The 17,858-nt window shown below is 37.9% G+C and overlaps 2 protein-coding genes across 7 annotated transcripts in view; one reads left to right on the top strand and one right to left on the bottom strand.

Annotated features, from left to right (window-relative positions):
- The window catches only part of PPAT (phosphoribosyl pyrophosphate amidotransferase), a 42,254-nt gene that overhangs the window by 11,315 nt on the left and 13,081 nt on the right, over positions 1 to 17,858 (bottom strand). Inside the window, exons 2-3 of one of the 2 annotated variants that reach the window (NR_156493.2) lie at positions 2,974 to 3,040; positions 1,819 to 1,942 (exon numbers count right to left, since the gene is read on the bottom strand). Coding sequence is in view for 1 of the 2 variants with exons in the window: in NM_002703.5 (NP_002694.3) it covers positions 1,819 to 2,025; positions 2,974 to 3,040 (274 nt within the window). In the remaining variant the exon portion in view is untranslated. Of the gene's footprint in view, positions 1 to 1,818; positions 2,026 to 2,973; positions 3,041 to 17,858 lie in introns of both variants that reach the window. The other variant, NM_002703.5, reaches the window with a different exon arrangement.
- PAICS (phosphoribosylaminoimidazole carboxylase and phosphoribosylaminoimidazolesuccinocarboxamide synthase) overlaps positions 5,831 to 17,858 on the top strand; it is a 54,072-nt gene continuing 42,044 nt past the window's right edge. For 2 of the 5 annotated variants that reach the window (NM_001392010.1, NM_001392011.1), the window contains exons 1-2: positions 5,831 to 6,221; positions 14,938 to 15,372. In NM_001392010.1, the coding sequence (NP_001378939.1) occupies positions 5,840 to 6,221; positions 14,938 to 15,372 (817 nt within the window). In that variant the 5' untranslated portion in view covers positions 5,831 to 5,839. Of the gene's footprint in view, positions 6,222 to 9,553; positions 9,641 to 9,895; positions 10,052 to 11,675; positions 11,763 to 14,937; positions 15,373 to 17,858 lie in introns of all 5 variants that reach the window. The other 3 variants (XM_047449527.1, XM_047449528.1, NM_001392012.1) reach the window with 3 other exon arrangements.

A 17,858-nucleotide genomic window follows, 5' to 3' on the forward strand; every position in this document is an offset into this window, starting at 1 on the left:
GATTGTCTGAATTTTTAAATGAACTATGTATTTTTTCATTTGGGGACAGAAAAGCACAATAAGGTCATTATAATGCCTATGAACAGGGCTGGACAAAGCTCTAGGAAATGTCTAAAGACAGAACTAAAAAATGGAATGACAGTGAGTGGTACAAAAGCCTGGGTTCTAGATATTTTTGACCCAGCAGTTCATTATTATTAAGCTTCTGTAACTGTTCATCATATGTGAATTGCCCAGCTCTAGAATGCTTATAGGATGGGGTGTGCATGTAACCATCTATTACTAAATATCACCAGGTTCTGAAGTTACCAAGTCAAGGTTATTGGGAGCTAATAAACTGAAGAAACTCAACATTAATTAATGAATGCCTGAATGGATAAAAGGAAGCTACTAGGAATGAATATAAAGACAGGCAGTTAAAAAAAAAAAAAAAGAAAGATGAAATGATGAATGAAAGCATAGGCACAAATTTGACATCATTAGCACAGAAAGCTCCAAACAACATGCTGTGAACCAAGAGTTTAAGTAAACAGTCTCCGTCCCTTTTCCCATATTCTAGTTTCCTGTCATTGTTTCCAATTCATTTTTTCATGTCATCTTCAAGTTTATACTCCATTTTATTTTTATGCTTTTGTGATATGTAAGAAGATTTATATATGTTATTTTTATCCTGGTCTTTCCTGGTACACAGCTCCTAAAACCCTTAGAATTGCCAAAATGATAGGTGTCCTTTTGTATGCTGTTGAGATGACTGGTAGCTAGGGGCTCCTGCACAGCATCAGTATGAGGGCTAGTTGCCAGGGGAATCAACCAGAGGGTTGGAGCTTCCAGCTTCATCCCTGGACCCCCAGGGAAGGGGACAAAGGCTAAAGGTTGAGCTGATCACCAGTGGCTGATGATTTAATCATTCGTGCCTACTTCATGAAGCCTCCATAAAAATCCACAATGACTAGGTTCAGAGAGCTTCTGGATAGCTGAACACTTGGAGATGCCTGGAGGGTGGTGCCCCTGGAAAGGGCATGGAAGCTCCACACTCGTTCCCACATACCCTGCCTTTTCCATCTTTTCACCAGACTGTTCTTCTGTAGCCTTTGTAATATCCTTTATAATAAACTGGTAAATGTATACAAAGCACTTTCTTGAGTTTTGTGATGTTTGAAACCAAAGGTAGTGCTAGGGCTGTTGCAGGAACTCCCAATTTATAACTGGTTGTCAGATGTACCAAAGGCCTGGACTTGCAACTGGCATCTGAAGTGCGGGACAATCTTGTGGGACTGAGCCCTTAACTTCTGGGACTGAGCCCTTAACTTCTGGAACCTGACTTTACCTCCAGGTACTATCAGAATACAATTGAATTATAGGATACCCATTTGGTGTCCTCTGGAAAACTGCTGGTATAAGAAACCCCCCTATTTGGTGACAGAAGTGTGCTGAGTCTGAGAATAGGAAAAATGGCTTGATTTTTCTTATCTCATACAAGCTTTGAACATAGCAACAGAGTTAAAGAGATAGCAAGTCCATAAACTCTAATTTCTCTATGCTTCCATCCATAAATCAACTCTCCCAAATCTCTAAAGCAGTGCATTCAAAAAGTGAGTCTAAAATGCATATTCTCACCCTTGTCTCGAACTCTAGGGGATAGCTTACAATCTGGAATTGTAACAAGTACTCCAGATCATTCTGATGCAATTGTTTGTTGCAGTTAGGTAACAGGTAGCAACAATTAGAAAATGCCCTTTACAAAGATCCTTAACTTTTATTCATTAACCCATCCTAATCATTTAAAAAGGCCTAGGGAAAACAAACAAACAAACGTACCTTTTTCCTTAATCGAGCAGCATTTACCAATTCGCCATTATGTGCCACAGCTATCTTCCCATGAAGTGTTTCAACAACGAAGGGCTGACAATTTTCTAGTTCACATTTTCCTGTGGTGGCATACCTGGTGTGTCCAATTCCAAGATTTGAAACATATAATTTTTTCAAATTGTCTTCAGTAAAGACGTGATTTACAAGACCCATTCCCTTGAGAAATCAAAAAGTGCAACTTAGAAAAAAACAGACTAGTACTGCTAGTAATAAACGCCTCTCTTCTCTGCCCAGCCAATCCAAATAAGACAAAGAAGTACATTTAATATCTCTGTGTTTCAGAATTCTAATCTAAAAAAAAGTCAAAAACAAATAACCTAATTGTAAGAACTGTGAAGCACTTACTTAAAAAAATTTACTGAGGCAAAAGTCACATACCATAAAATTAACCATTCTAAAAAGAACAATTTAGTGGCATTTAATACCTTCACAATGTTGAAGCACTTGTGTTTCATAAGATACTATTCACTAAAACATTTAAGAACAGATGTAGTAAGCAATAAAATTTGTCAAGTATAAAAACTAAAATTTGCATTAAAAAAATCAAAGCATCTTAAAGCATTTAAATAAATGACCCCCTATTTGAGTTGGTCTTAGGCAAAAAAGTATAACTGGGGAAGAAATACATCCTAATTTGACAAATGTTAGGATATAAAGTTGAAAGTGGCTGATCCAAAGAATATTACTTTTGATTGCAAATTATTTATTCAAATCCCCCTCCCCATATTAATGATCATCTGTCTTTGTTATCTTTGTCATCCCATTTCTTTTTTCTTTCTTTTTTTTTTTTGAGATGGAGTTTCACTCTTGTTGCCCAGGCTGGAGTACAATGGCGCAATATCAGCTCACCACAACCTCCGCCTCCCAGGTTCAAACGATTCTCTTACCTCAGCCTCCCAAGTAGCTGGGATTACAGGCATGCGCCACCACGCCTGGCTAATTTTGTATTTTTAGTAGAGACAGGGTTTCTCCATGTTGGTCAGGCTGGTCTTGAACTCCCGACCTCAGGTGATCCTCCTGCCTTGGCCTGCCAAAGTCCTGGGATTACAGGCATGAACCACCGCACTTGGTCTGTCATCAACATTTCTTAAAGTTCAAATTTACCTTGTGTGATTTGAATGTTGGCACCGAACTCCCATCACTAGTCACAATACCAGCACTCTCCTGACCCCTGTGAATATAAAAAGATATTAGCTGTTAAATCTGCCAATTGATTAGCTTCTTGAAGAACTTTATCAAGCATACTTTCTCAACAAGCATCCATGAACTTAGTGTGACAACACATTAAATGCTACTTGTACTAGCACTACTTCTATTGATGATGCTGATGCTGATGATTAGCAATCACAGCAGATGACAATGTAACAATTAGATATCTCATCTAATATTAACTAACATGCCAGGCAGTCTGTCCTAGCATTTTACGTTGTAAAAATAAATAATTTAAAAGCTATTGGAACCCCAAATATACTTTAGGCCTTGAGAGAGATATGACTGTGATCCAAGTCACATATGGTTACAACTTCTGTTTCTCAGATTATAGATTAACTCACTTTCTTATTTTTCTTGTTCTATACAATGACTAGAGAGAATTAAAAGACATCAGAGACAGCCGGGTACGGTGGCTCACGCCTGTAATCCCAGCACTTTGGGAGGCTGACGTGGGCGGATTACAAGGTCAAGGCTGGAGACCATCCTGGCCAACATGGTGAAACCCTGTCTCTACTAAAAATACAAAAATTAGCTGGCCATAGTAGCACACGCTTGTAGTCCCAGCTACTCAGGAGGCTGAGGCAGGAGAATTGCTTGAACCCGGGAGGCGGAGTTGCAGTGAACCAAGATCGCACCACTGCACTCCAGCCTGGGCGACAGAGCGGAGACTCCGTCTCAAAAAAAAAAAAAAAAAAAGACATCAGAAACAATAACCTCCTGCCTTCTCAAGTGATGAGCTTTGTTAAAGATTAACTCCTAGGTGGAGGCGGGTGGACCACGAGGTCAGGAGATCGAGACCATCCTGGCTAACACGGTGAATCCCCGTCTCTACTAAAAATACAAAAAATGAGCCGGGCGTGGTGGCGGGCGCCTGTCGTCCCAGCTACTCCGGAGGCTGAGGCAGGAGAACGGCGTGAACCCAGGAGGCGGAGCTTGCAGTGAGCTGAGATCGCGCCACTGCACTCCGGCCTGGGCGACAGAGCGAGATTCCGTTTCAAAAAAAAAAAAAAAAAAAGTTAGCTTTTGTTTTGTTGTCCTGCTTTGCTAGACCAAATGAAAGAAAACCCATTAACATCCTCTGTAAAAAAATGTTAAATGTACCCTTCCCCAGAAGAACCACCACCTATAACAATCAAACTGCTGTAACTGGGCGCGCTAACCTTGTATAAAAAATGTTGTGATTCTGCTAAAAACTCCTCTGTCTGCCTATAGAAATGAAACCTTAACTTTCCTACTTTGCAATGCTGACTCCATTCCTTGGAGTTGGTGTTTCTGGGTGAGACATCCTCAAACTTGGTGCTTGAATAAACTCTCTCTAAATTAGATTCTGATCCTTTTAATTATTTAGGTCGATAGCATGCGTGATATAATTTGGTTTTCACAACAATCCTATGAAGTAGGTACTATGATTACCATGCCCATTTTACAGATAAACACACTAAAGCAATAGAAAGGAAGTTACTTTCCCATTGTCACACAGACAGCAGGTGGTAGCCAGGATTCCAATGCAGACAATCCAACTGCAGAATTTATGCTTCTAACCTCTACTCTTTATAACCCCTAAATAGGGTTTCAACAGGATGAGTATGTAGATGTAAATTAAAATCTCCAAATATAATAGAGGCAAAATGCATAGTTGGTAACCATTTTTTATGCCTTTCTGCATTTTCCAAATGTTCTCCAATAAATAGCACTTTTGCTATTAGAAAAAAAAATTTTGTTTCTGAAAACCCTCTGCTGACCAGGCACCCTTTCCCATGTCTGTGTCTCATTTCCTGCATTAGTGTTGATTAAGTGGTGATACAGAGAAAAAAGCCAAAATCTAGACTGAAGGTAGGGCAAGACATAGTAAAGACTAAGAGCATCCATACCACTGTGCAGTATAAACTCTCATAAAGGTTCCAACTGCTTTGCCATTTTTAATAGTTCTGAACAAGTGCTATAAATAGTAGATGTTTATTGACCAATTTTTGTTCCAAAGAATATATATCAGGATAGAAACAAAAAGTAAACCTCTTCCATATGTGCCTGTAGACTTTAGTAGCTGTTAATACATTGATTTATTTGGTAAAAAGGAACCTTTTTCAAAATTATATATTGCAATTGTTGCAGTGTTTTATTAACGAGAAAAATGACAACATTAAATATGTTGCCAAGTAAAACTCTAAAAAAACTTGGCATGATCACAGCTCACAGCAGCCTCAAGAAATGATTTTATTAAATGCATTAAATACTGAAAATAGATATGCATAATACTATATACCATATGGGACTAAATAAATTGACTTATGATTTCTTTTATTTAGTGAAATGCTGTGGGGTCTGTAAGTTAACCAATGTTAGAGGACTAGGTGATTCATGTCAGAGGAAATATATTATTAACATTGGCTATAGACCTCTTGGAAAAAGCCTCTGCCAACCATTTTCAAAACAATTTTTAAAAATCAACAATCATTTGGTAAAACAGTAAATTATGTAAGAAAAGAAATACACAAAAAACGGTTTTCTTTCCCTTTTGTCTCAAGGGAAGTTTTTCCTTCAGGCTGAAATGATATAGTTAAGAATCATTTAGATCCAGGCTTCTTTAATCACAAAGCCTGCTTATTTGGCAGTTTCTCAAGTTACTCCCTCAGGCAGCTTGAACCAGTTAAACTACATCCTTTCAGCTCTTCGGAGCTTATTGACAACCAGCCATGTGGTTTCCTAGGAAACAAAACCTTGGCTGGAAATAGTGAATCATTTCCAGGTCACTTTCAACATGGAGAGTGGAGCAGGAAAGCACTGGACTGAGGAGGAGGTTAAAGCTTTGCTAAGTGTCTGGGCAGAAAAAAATATACGAAAACAACTTTATGGAACACTAAGAAATAAAGGAATATTTATTTACATTGCTAAAAGGCTGCAATCATTAGGAGTATACAGAGACTGGAAACAGTGCTGGGCTAAGTACAAAAATCTCAAATATGAATATAGAACAGTTAAATATGCCCATAACTCTGGAGACAGCTCTAAAACTATGAAGTTCTTCCATGATTTGGATGTAATCCTGCAGTATGAACCTGCCACACAATTTACAGAGGAAGATGCAAATGGCAGGTACCTGGAAACGCTCAGCCCAAGTACAGCCCCAGAGACCACTGAAGGTAAAAAAAAAAAAAAAAAAAAAAAAAAAAAGAAAAGTACTCTTGTTTTTCTTTTGTTTTACAGTTTTATGAACTGTAAAAGTTCAGGACTTCTGTGGCCATATGATAAATATAGACTGAAATATCAAGACTGTGGAAAAATAACCAATTTATTATGCTATTTTGCACAAGGTTAAGAATTTTTTTAAAAAGAGGTTAAATATTACCACTTTAAAAAAATCTGTAAAATACAGAAAAAGCACATTACAATGGCACTGACTGCTAGTGCCAACTGCATGTGATATGTTTTTGAAATATGGATTGAGTTCTAAAAATAGTTTAAGTTTTAATTTTATAAGAGTGGTAAATAAGGGGAAAAATATCAAAAACATTGCTCAACTGATGTTTTTCCACAGCTCCAAACAAGAACTTTCTCCTTTATTTAATTTGCGTTTTCCTAAATTTATAAATAAAAGCACATTTAAAATAACTGTTCTACACTATTTCATTACTTGTTTACAAGAACAGCTCCATTTTAACAATGAAGAAGAACAGCTCCATTTTAACAATGAAGTATAATGAAGATTTAGTACATGAAATGATCTGAGACTAAGTGATTTACAGGGGTTTCTTGACGTGCTGTGTTGTTAAACCCAACACTATTTACATAGAATCTACTCATTGTCTGTGGAAGCATTAGTAGGCAAAGGGAGGGAAATCAATGACAGTAATGAGATGTCTACCATAGTCTAAATCTTATAGATGCTATTTCAAGAGCAGAATTATTCAAAAATCTGTAATACCCACTATCTGTGTGTACCATGGGCAAAGCACTAAGTTATATGCGTTTAGTAATGCGAAACCTCAAAAAGGACAGAACTGCAAATAAATTTAACACCTGAGAGAAAACAGTAAATAGTATAATAAAAGTACCAAATGTGAATGGGGTTAAGAGGACAAAGATTACAACTGGTTAACTTAAGTTAGCTATTTTTCATGTTTACAGCTCAGTAACAAATCATTTCATTAAAAGAAGAATCCACCCTGCCTACATTCTTTCCATTTCTGAGATGACACCAAATTCTGAGAAAGCTTTGCAGTTATTACCATATTAAACAGCAATCGCATTATTTTATTCAATTAAACACCTTCGACTCTTCATTATTTAAGTGCTTTAAATATTGATTAATAAATAAGTAAATCACTTAGCTTCTGAAAGTCCCCGATTTTAACCAGGAGTTGGTCTGATGAAGATGTGGGTGCCAATATCTCAACTTCTTAAAGGGATCTTCAGCGCTTTCAGGTACTCCCTTGGCTCCAAACTCCTTCGTTTTCACTCATAAACAGAGGGACTATCCTTACAACATAACTATGCACGTTTAGTTACCTCAAACTCCCAATTCCAAAATCAAACTCTCTATTCTCCCATCACCTTTTTTTTTTTTTTTAGAGAGAGGGTTTCACTCCTGTCACCCAAGCTGAAGTGCAGTGGTGTGATCTTGGCTCATTGCTGCCTCAACTTCCAGGACTCAAATGATCCTCCCAACTCAGCCTCCTGAATAGCTGGGACTATGGGGTGTGAGCCACCATGCCTGGCTAATTTTTTGTGGGATGGGTTTCCCACCATGTTGCCCTGGCTGGTCTTGAACTCCTGGGTTCAAGAGATTCTCCTGCTTCGGCTTCCCGAAGTGAGGCACGATCCACCACATCTAGCCTGAATTTGATCCTCCTACAAATTGCTTCCACCTTAGCATCACTATATTTCCAATCACTTATACAGAAACATTTGAGATATCCTTGATTTTTGGTCAGTCACTAAGTCTTTAAAAAATCTGCTGACATACTGCATAAAATTTTCTCTCTGCTCTATTCTCATTATGACTAACCAGAACTTCATCATGTCTCATATGGAATATTAATGTAACCTCTTTACCGGGCTCCCTAGTTTTCACCCTCTTCCCATATACTTTCCACAATACCACTAGTTGTTCTTTACATTTTTAAATTATAAAATTATAAGCACATTAACATTTTGGTTGCATTAAAAATAATCTTTAAATTATACCCAAGATTAATCATGGTCTAAAATTAAATATTACAATTAATGGTTCCATAATATTTAACTGAGTGTGGGTCTTCCACCCCCATGCAAATGATACTGCAATTAATACCTTTTGTCCATTTTTAGTATTATTACTTTAAGACACAAAGTACTGATTCAGGAGGATATAATTACTTTGGTTTTTTGTTGTTGTTGTTTTTGTCTTGTTTTTGGTTTTTGGTTTTGTTTTGTTTTGTTTTAAGACAGAGTCTCACTCTGTCACCCAGGCTGGAGTGCAGTGGTGCAATCTCAGCTCACAACCTCTGCTTCCCAGGTTCAAGCGATTCTCCTGCCTCAGCCTCCTGAGCTGGGATTAGAGGCGCAACGCCACCATGCCCAGCTAGTTTTTGTATTTTTAGGAGAGACAGGGTTTCATCATGTTGACCAGGCTGGTCTCGAAGTCCTGTCCTCAAGTGATCTGCCCACCTTGGCCTCCCAAAGTGCTGGCATTACAGGCCTGAGGCACCATGTCTGGCCATTACTTTGAAACATTATTTCTAAAACAACTGCTTTCCAAAATAACTGTACTTCACTAGCCATGATAGCGTCCCTTCTGTAGAATCACTGTCATGCAAAATTATGGAGTATTGATGGGAAGAAGGGACTTTCCAAATTTGATAAGTAAATAATGATTTAGGCCAGGCATGGTGGCTCATGCCTGTAATCCCAGCACTTTGGGAGGTTGAGGCAGGTGGATCACCTGAGGTCAGGAGTTCAAGACCAGCCTGACCAACATGGTGAAACCCCGTCTCTACTAAAAATACAAAAAATTTGCTGGGCTTGGTGGTGGGCACCTGTAATCCCAGCTACTTGGGAGGCTGAGACAGGAGAATCGCTTGAACCCAGGAAGCAAAAGTTGCAGTGAGCCAAGATCACACCACTGCACTCCAGCCTGGGCGACAAGAGTAAAACTCTATCTCAAAATAAATAAATTAAATAAATAATTAACGACTTAGGCTAATTTAAGAAACAATGGCCTATAATGATATACAAATTGGTAACTTTTAATTTGCATTTGTTTAATTACCAGTAAGGTAGAACACTTTTCTATACAATTTTACAAACTGACCATTCATGTCAATTGGGGTCTTAGAAATTTGCATGATTTTCTTGCCTTATGATTTATTTGATCTGCAGAATCCAAAAATTTTTAAGGTAATCAAAGTTTTCTCCCTAGGGCTTAGGAAGCCCTCCTTGCACCAGGTTTGATTCATTATGTAATGTTTTCTGGTTTTTCCTATGGCGGAACCAGCAGAATTTTTATTGGTGTGTGATACACGGAAGAAGGGAAGAAAACGAAAGTGCCTTTTCCACTGTTGGGATCAACCTCATGCAAGTGGTAAGGATAGGCCACTTGTTAGGCAGCAAGTAGCCAGGACCAGAGCCATGGCAAAAGACCCAAATACACTTTTGACCAACTCTAAGAGGCTTCATCTTCTGCTAAATCTCATCATCCTCAGCCTCAGAATTCCTTTGGCCTATGGCTGCCAAACCACATTCCTTCAGTGGTCAATTTCCCCTCTATTTCACTCCTCTTATTTTATACAAATGTATCGCAAGTAATGATTTAAGACTTTCACTTTAAAATCTCCAGAGCCTCTGCCTACAGTTTTAGGATTCATGCTGTGGAATGAGCAACTTAAGAAAAAATTATCTGAAGAGGTTGGAGAGAGAGCTTTTCTGTTTCACTACCATCTGTATGTTTGGTCCAGACTCTTTTCTATGGACGTAAATCTGGACTCTAAACCAGGTAATAGAATAGAAACCCTGCCTTTATTTACTGCTCTCATACTCAAGCTCAGGTGTTAAATAACCTGGGCCCTGTTTCTCTAAAGGTAATTCTTACATAACTCCAGATTTTTATTTTCCCTGTTTTCAACCAAATCTAAAACATTCCTCGACAACATTTTAGCCTAAAGCAATTATAAAACCTGATTTAAAATTTTTGACAATTTTTACCTTGAGAGTTTATAAAAATACAACTGTGCCATCTGAAAGCAGTGATGTGCTTTTGTACTTATGTTTATTTTTCATTTGTTTTCCTATTTTAACATAGAAACCCTAATAGAGTTTTTAAGATGATAAAGAGCATATCTTTTCTTTTTCTTCAATGGGAATGCCTGTAAACATAATGGTGAATCATGATTTAAAATGAATATTTATGCCATTAAAATCACACCTAAAAGTTGATATATTAATGTAAAATACAATGCTACTTTTGTTACTCAATAAAATAGAAGTGGAAAAACATTTGGCAATGAAATGATTAATGAGATGAGTAAATTTTTAATTGAGACATTACAAAGAGCAATCAAAAGATACTTATCCGCCTCCCAATTAGTCTGCAATTTCATGTAATTATAATTCATCTTCATGTGTCAATTGAGTTAAAAATCATGTAAACTGCATTCCTTTCTAAGATGTACTTCATCCTCCTCATTTGATCACTTTAAAAAGTAGCCTATGCCTCATTTTATGAAAGCCTATATAAAAGCATCCAAACCATAAAACAAGGAAATCAAAGGAGGAATTCAATTTTTATGGTTGGCATGTTTCTTTTAAATGACATATTCCTTAGTCCATTTAAACATAATTTAACTTCTGGAAACTTTAATATGTATCAATCAATAAATTATATAAGATACTTAAAAACTCTAAGCTATTTGATCATACATGCCAAAAAAACAGCATTTTCTAATTATCTATCTCATTGCAGGACCTACTCTTTTACATTACTGGTATTATTTAGCAAATGCCTACTCTGTTAGAGCACCCAAGATACAATTATAAATAAAACACCACATTTAAAAATTGTAAGGCTGGGCACAGTGGCTCACACCTGTAATCCCAGCACTTTGGGAGGCCGAGGATCACCTGAGGTTAGGAGCTCGAGACCAGCCTGGCCAACATGGTGAAACCTCGTGTCTACTAAAAATCCAAAAATTAGCCGGGCGTGGTGGCAGATGCCTGTAATCCCAGCTACTCATAAGGCTGAGGCAGGAGAATTGCTTGAACCCGGGAGGCGGAGGTTGCAGTGAGCCGAGATCACACCACTGCACTCCAGCCTGGGCGACAGAGTAAGACTCTGTCTCAAAAAAAAAAAAAAAGTAATTTAACTTGAAAACTAACTACAACCATTTCTAAAAACTTAAAAAATTATCAAACAATTCTAGCAGAACTTCAAAATGGACCATGTCAATGGGATGGAAAAAATTAGATTTCTCTTTAAATATACAAATATTTAAACTATATTATACAACTTTATTACAAAATGTCTATCACAAATCTGTTTTCAAGAATATGACCACATTTAGCTAAAGCTATTAGAATTATCAGTCATGTTGTTTCTAAAAGGAATTCTGTTATATTTACAGGTAAAATGTCAATTGCATCAGTAGATAAGGAAGATGTCTCAGGAAATCCTTTACTTCTGGTTTCTCATGTCAGACCAATGGAACTAGGTATAGTATAATGGATGGGACAGAATGAAACTGATCTAATTTCAAACGGAAAGACTGGTTCCTAATCTGAGAAAATTGACAATTTTTCCTGGAAGAAACACTCAGAATTGATTTATGTTTCCCTTTTTGCCAACCCACACTGAAAAAAATTATTTCTAAAGCAAATGATTTCCTTACGAAATTTAAGTTTCCTAGAAATATTGGTTCTCTAATTTCCGAACTTTACTCTTTAAATATTATAAGAAATCTGATGGCTAAACTTACTCATAGTAATGAACATGATCACTTTAGTGTTGAGGCAAGGAATTAAGACAAACAGAATTTTACATCTGAAAGTAAACATCAGAGCCACAACCAGGTCAAGGATAATTTGAATCACCCAATGAATTAAATTCAGTGTAAATCCTTCTTTGCTTCTATTTTTCTTTTCTTTTCTAGTCTCACTCTGTTGCCCAGGCTGGAGTGCAGTGTCATGATCCCAGCTCACTGTAACCTCTGCCTCCGGGGTTCAAGCAATTCTCCTGCCTCAGCCTCCTGACTAGCTGGGATTACAGGAGCGCACCATCACGCCCAGCTAATTTTGTATATTTAGTAGAGACAGGGTTTCACCATGTTAGCCAGGCTGATCTAGAACTCTCGACCTCTGGTGATCCACCCGCCTCGGCCTCCCAAATTGCTGGGATTACAGGCGTGAGCCACTGCACCCGGCCGCTTCTAATTTCTTATTGAAGCTAGAAGCAAAAACCTTACTTCTAACTTACATAATAGAAAAACTTATTTGTAACCCAAATAAGAAAAAAAATTCTGAAAAAGCATTACAAAGCAAAGACATTAAATATTTGTAACCTAAATAAGAAAAAAAATTCTGAAAAGCATTTCAAAGCAAAGACATTAAATACACCATAAAATATCTCAAACAAATGCTATAAAGTTTTTTTAATGACTTAAAACTCATGAACCTGACAAAAGTTATTAATTGTAATATCATTTGTATGATAGGGGCCAAAACCTAAACTCAATTATTACTGAACCATTAATTGTAATATTTAATTTTAAATTATGGCCAGGCACAGTGACTCACACCTGTAACCCCAGTATTTTGGGAGGCCAAGGTGCGGGATCACTTGAGACCAGGAGTTCGAGACTAGCCTGGGCAACACAGTGAGACCCCATGCCTAAAAAAATTATTAAAAATAGTCCAGGTGCAGTCAGTGGCTCATGCCTGTAGTCCCAGCTACTTGTGAGGCTGAGGCAGGAAGGCTCACTTGAGCCCAGGGGTTCAAGGCTGCAGTGAGCCATGACTGTGCTACACACTCCAGCCTGTGCAACAGAGTCTACGAAAAGAAAAAGAAACAAAATAAATTATGATTAATCTTCGGTATAATTTGAAGATTTGGTTTTTTGTTTTTTTTTTTTTTTTTGAGACAGAGTATTGCTCTGTTGCCAGGCTAGAGTGCAGTGGTGCAATCTCGGCTCACTGCAATCCTGCCTCCCAGGTTCAAGCGATTCTCCTGCCTCAGCCTCCTGAGTAGCTGGGATTACAGGTGTGCACCACACACCCAACTAATTTTTGTATTTTCAGTAAATACAGGGTTTCACCATGTTGGCCAGGATGGTCTTGATCTCCTGACCTCGTGATCCTCCTACCTTGGCCACCCAAAGTGCTGGGATTACAGGCGTGAGCCACCGCACCTGGCTGAAGATTATTTTTAATGCAAACAAAATGTTAATGTCATGCATGGTAGCGTGTGCCTGTGGTCCCAGCTACTCTGGAGGTTCACTTGAACCTGGGAGGTTCAGGCTGCAATGAGCAGTGGTCTCTCCACTACACTCTAGCTTGGTGAAAGAAAATTACTTTCTTTTTTAAAAAACTTATTTTATTTTATTTTATCTTATTTTGAGACAGGGTCTCACTCTTTTGCCCAAGCTGGAGTGCAGTGGTGTATTCTCAGCCCATTGCAACCTCCACCTCCCCGACTCAAGCAATCCTCCCACCTCAGCCTCCCAAATACCTGAGACCACAGGCACATGCCACCAAGCCTGGCTAATTTTTGCATTTTTTTGTAGATACAGGTTTTGCCCTGTTGGGAGGCTGGTCTCCAACTCCTGAGCTCAGGCAATCCACCTGCCTTGGCACCCCAAAGTACTGGGATTACAGGCCTGAGCCACCATGCCCAGCCAAAAATTCCTTTCTTTAATAATATTACATCCAATTTGAAACCCTGTCTCAAAAAAAACACAAAGACCAAAGTTAATGTGCTTGTAAGTTTATAATTCAGAAAATGAACCTACTTCTTTTATGAAAATGAAATCTGAGAAAAACACAAGATTGGTTGTCAAAATAACCAATATAAAGTCAAGTACTGTCAGTAATGTAAATGAAGTATAAAACTGTTCTAGAGACCTAATACACACCATGGCATATTAAAGGATTTATAACTAAGTGGAGACATACTGCCTAGGAACAAGGCATTATGAAATTTCTGACACATTTCCCTACCATTAAAAGAAAATACTTCATTTAAAATGGCTTTAGTCTTTCTGTAATTTTCGCAAGGCGTAAGCACTGATTGTTCTGTGTGACTCTTCCAAGCCCTCAGCTCATGAGTAGCCTCAGTTCTCAACCCTGACTACACATTAGATTCACAGTCTGGGGATGAGGGATGAGGCAGGTACCAGAGTGGTGGTTTTTAAATGCTTCCCAGTAGACTGATATATAGCCAAAGGAAATCGTAAGATAAAGAAAAAAGAAAGGAGTTAAATTGTTTGTACCTATCCTATTTCAAAACAAATTATCTACAATGAGCCATTTTCTTAAGTAATTACTGTTTTCTATAGTAAATGCTACACATTTATATATTGAACTTCCACTATACACTGACATACACCCTACATACTAAAGGAGTGGTATGGAAGAGAAAAAAAAGGTATACAGGAAAGATGATCAAAATATGACTAAAAAAACACAACTTTATTAAAGCCAGTAACCGGCATAATAATGGACAGATTTAGGTTCTGTATTTTGTTTCCCCACTGTTTAAGAGAAAAGCTAAGCTATGATTTGTTACTCCATCTCCTATGGAGGAAACTGCTTTCTTTAATAATGTTGCATCCAATTATTTACCTTGTCTGATGTATATAATGCATATATCTTTTACCTCTCTACCTAATGCAGGTATCTCTACGTCAGTATTGGAACCCTCTAATAATACAACTTTTATCCCAACTGTAGCAAATGAAGGAGGAAAGCACTGGACTGTGCCAGAAGTCAGGGCTCTAATAGACATCTGGTCTGATAAAAGCATACAACGACAACTAGAGGGAACAGTGAGAAATAAGAGGATATTTCAACAAATTGCAGCCAAGCTTCAGAAATTTGGAATAGACAGAGACTGGAAACAGTGCAGAACAAAATACAAAAACCTAAAACACGAATACAAGATCGTAAGAACAGCTCAAGATCTAGGCATGACTAAGAGTATGAAATTTTTTACTGAGTTGGATGCTATTCTGGGACCCAATAAAACAGAAAAATCACGAGACCAGGAATCCCAAGATGGAGAACATGTCACAGAATGTGCCAACGTAAAAATGGGAGAGGACCAGACAGGTAGGAAGGTGAAGAAAAATAATCTTAACATCATGTTACATCACACAGGTTCAAGGATCCCTTTTCCAAAATGCCTGGGATCAGAAGTGTTTCAGATTTAGATACTTTTTCAGATTTTAGAGTATTTGCATATACATAGTGAGGTATCTTAGAAAGGGGAGCCAAGTCCAAACATGAAATTCATATGTGTTTCATATATATAGCTTAAAGCTAATTTTATGCAATATTCTTAATAATTTTGTGCATGAAACAAAGTTTTGACTATACCCATCACATGAGGTCAAGTGTATAATTTTCCACATGTAGCATCATGTTGGTGCTCAAAAAGTTTCAAATTTTGTAGCATTTCAGATTTCATATTAGGGATGCTCAACCTGTATTGAGAATGTTCAGTACCATAAGAGGAATATTATATATGTAAGTTAAATAGGTTTCATTACATGCTATTTGACAAGCTAGCTGAATTTATTATGAAACAGATTTAGTATACATTTGATCTTCCCCAGAATAGAAACAGTACAGTTATACAAAAAGGAGGAAATAAAACTGGATTCCCAGAATAAAGTTTAAAATAGATCAATTTTAATAAAGCAAATATGCAACCCCAGATGGCAGAAGTTAAAGTAAATTTTCATACTAATTGTGGTAAAATTGAGTAAAATAGAAAAAGGGCATTGAAGAACTTAGAAAAATATAAAATACATGAGACTTTCTTAGAAGTAGTACATTTCTCTGAGACCCATCATAAATGTCTTTAAAGTATATTTAAACCAAAGGATTGAGATACAGTACATACACACTAAGACATGATAGCATGAAATAAACTGAATGAGTTCTAGACCAGGATTCAGGAAATCAAAGTTGTAAGGCTCTGTGGAAGCTTGAAGTAACCAAGTGTCTTCTCTAGACCAGGGGTCCCCAACACCTGGACCCTTACTGGTCCGTGGCCTGTTACGAACTGGGTTGCACAGCAGGAGGTGAGTGGTGGGCGAGCCAAGCTTCATCTGTATTTACAGACACTCCCCATCATGCACATTATGACCTGAGCTCCGCGACTCCTGTCAGATCAACGGCAACATTAGATTCTCACATTAGATTAGAACACTGGAGCACGAAGACTGTTGTGAACTGTGCAGGCAAGGGATCTAGGTTGTGTGCTCCTTATGAGAATCTAATGCCTGATGATCTGTCATTGTCTCCCATCACTCCCAGATGGGACCATGTAGTTGCAGGAAAACAAGCTCCGGGCTCCCACTGATTCTAGATTATGGTGAGTTGTTTAATTATTTCATTATATATTACAACGTAATAATAACAGAAATAAAGTGCACAATAAATGTAATGCACTTGAATCCTCCCAAAACCATGGCCCCCTCACCCCCTGGTCCATGGAAAAATTGTCTTCCGTGAAACCAGTCCCTGGTGCCAAAAGGTTGGAGACCGCTGCTGTAGACCTAACTCCAAAATTGGGGGGTGTGGACAAGATGGTCTTAAAGACCTCTACTAACCACAGTGTCTCCGGATTTTATTATCTGGCTTAAATGATGAGTCCCAATTGTAAGACAGTCTGCGTCTAGGGAAGAGAGGGGAACCACAGACAGTTAAGACTGGAAATGTTGGTGAGAAATCTCAAAATATTTCGCTGGTGGACAAGAAAGAAACTGGTATGCTAGAGAACTATACATCTCCCCCAGTTAGATGACTACAGATAAAGCAGCCCAACAGCAGTGGCATGATATCTTCATACAGTCATTGCTGGAGATGCAGCTAAAGATGATTCCATTAGTTATGTCAGAAGACTTAGTTAGAGACTCAGATACATACCCAATATCTATAGTGACAAAAAGATGCTTAAGGGTAGGGAATCTAACTAATCATATTTAATATTAGGGTCCCTTTAAAAAGGAAAATACTGCATTAGAGTTTAAAACACAATTCTGGGCCAGGCGTTGTGGCTCATGCCTCTAATCCCAGCACTTTGGGAAGCCAAGGTGGGTGGATCACTTGAGGCAGGAGTTTGAGACCAGCCTGGCCAACATGGTGAAACCCCATCTCTACTAAAAAATACACAAAAAATTAGCTAGGTGTGGTGGCACATGCCTGTAATCCCAGCTACTCGGGAGGCTGAGGAATGAGAATCCTTGGAACCTGGGAGGCAGAGGTTGCAGTAAGCCAAAATCGTACCACTGAACCACAGCCTGAGCAACAGAGTGAGACTCTGCCTCAAAAACAAATAAATAATCTAAATAAATAAAACACGATCCTGAAGTAAATTTAAAAAGCCAATATATATCCCCTTATGTTCATACAGTCATTGCTGGAGATGTAGCTGAAGATGATTCAGTCAGTAATAAGTCAGAAGACATAGGAGATACAGATAAAAAACAAGGTCTTGACACACATAAAATAATATTCTGGTTTTTTTTTTTTGTACGTGTGTGTGTGTGTGTGTGTGTGTGTGTGTGTGTGACAAAGTATATACATAA

Source organism: Homo sapiens, chromosome 4 (genome assembly GCF_000001405.40).
Source record: "Homo sapiens chromosome 4, GRCh38.p14 Primary Assembly".
In the NCBI taxonomy this organism is placed as follows: Eukaryota; Metazoa; Chordata; class Mammalia; order Primates; family Hominidae; genus Homo; species Homo sapiens.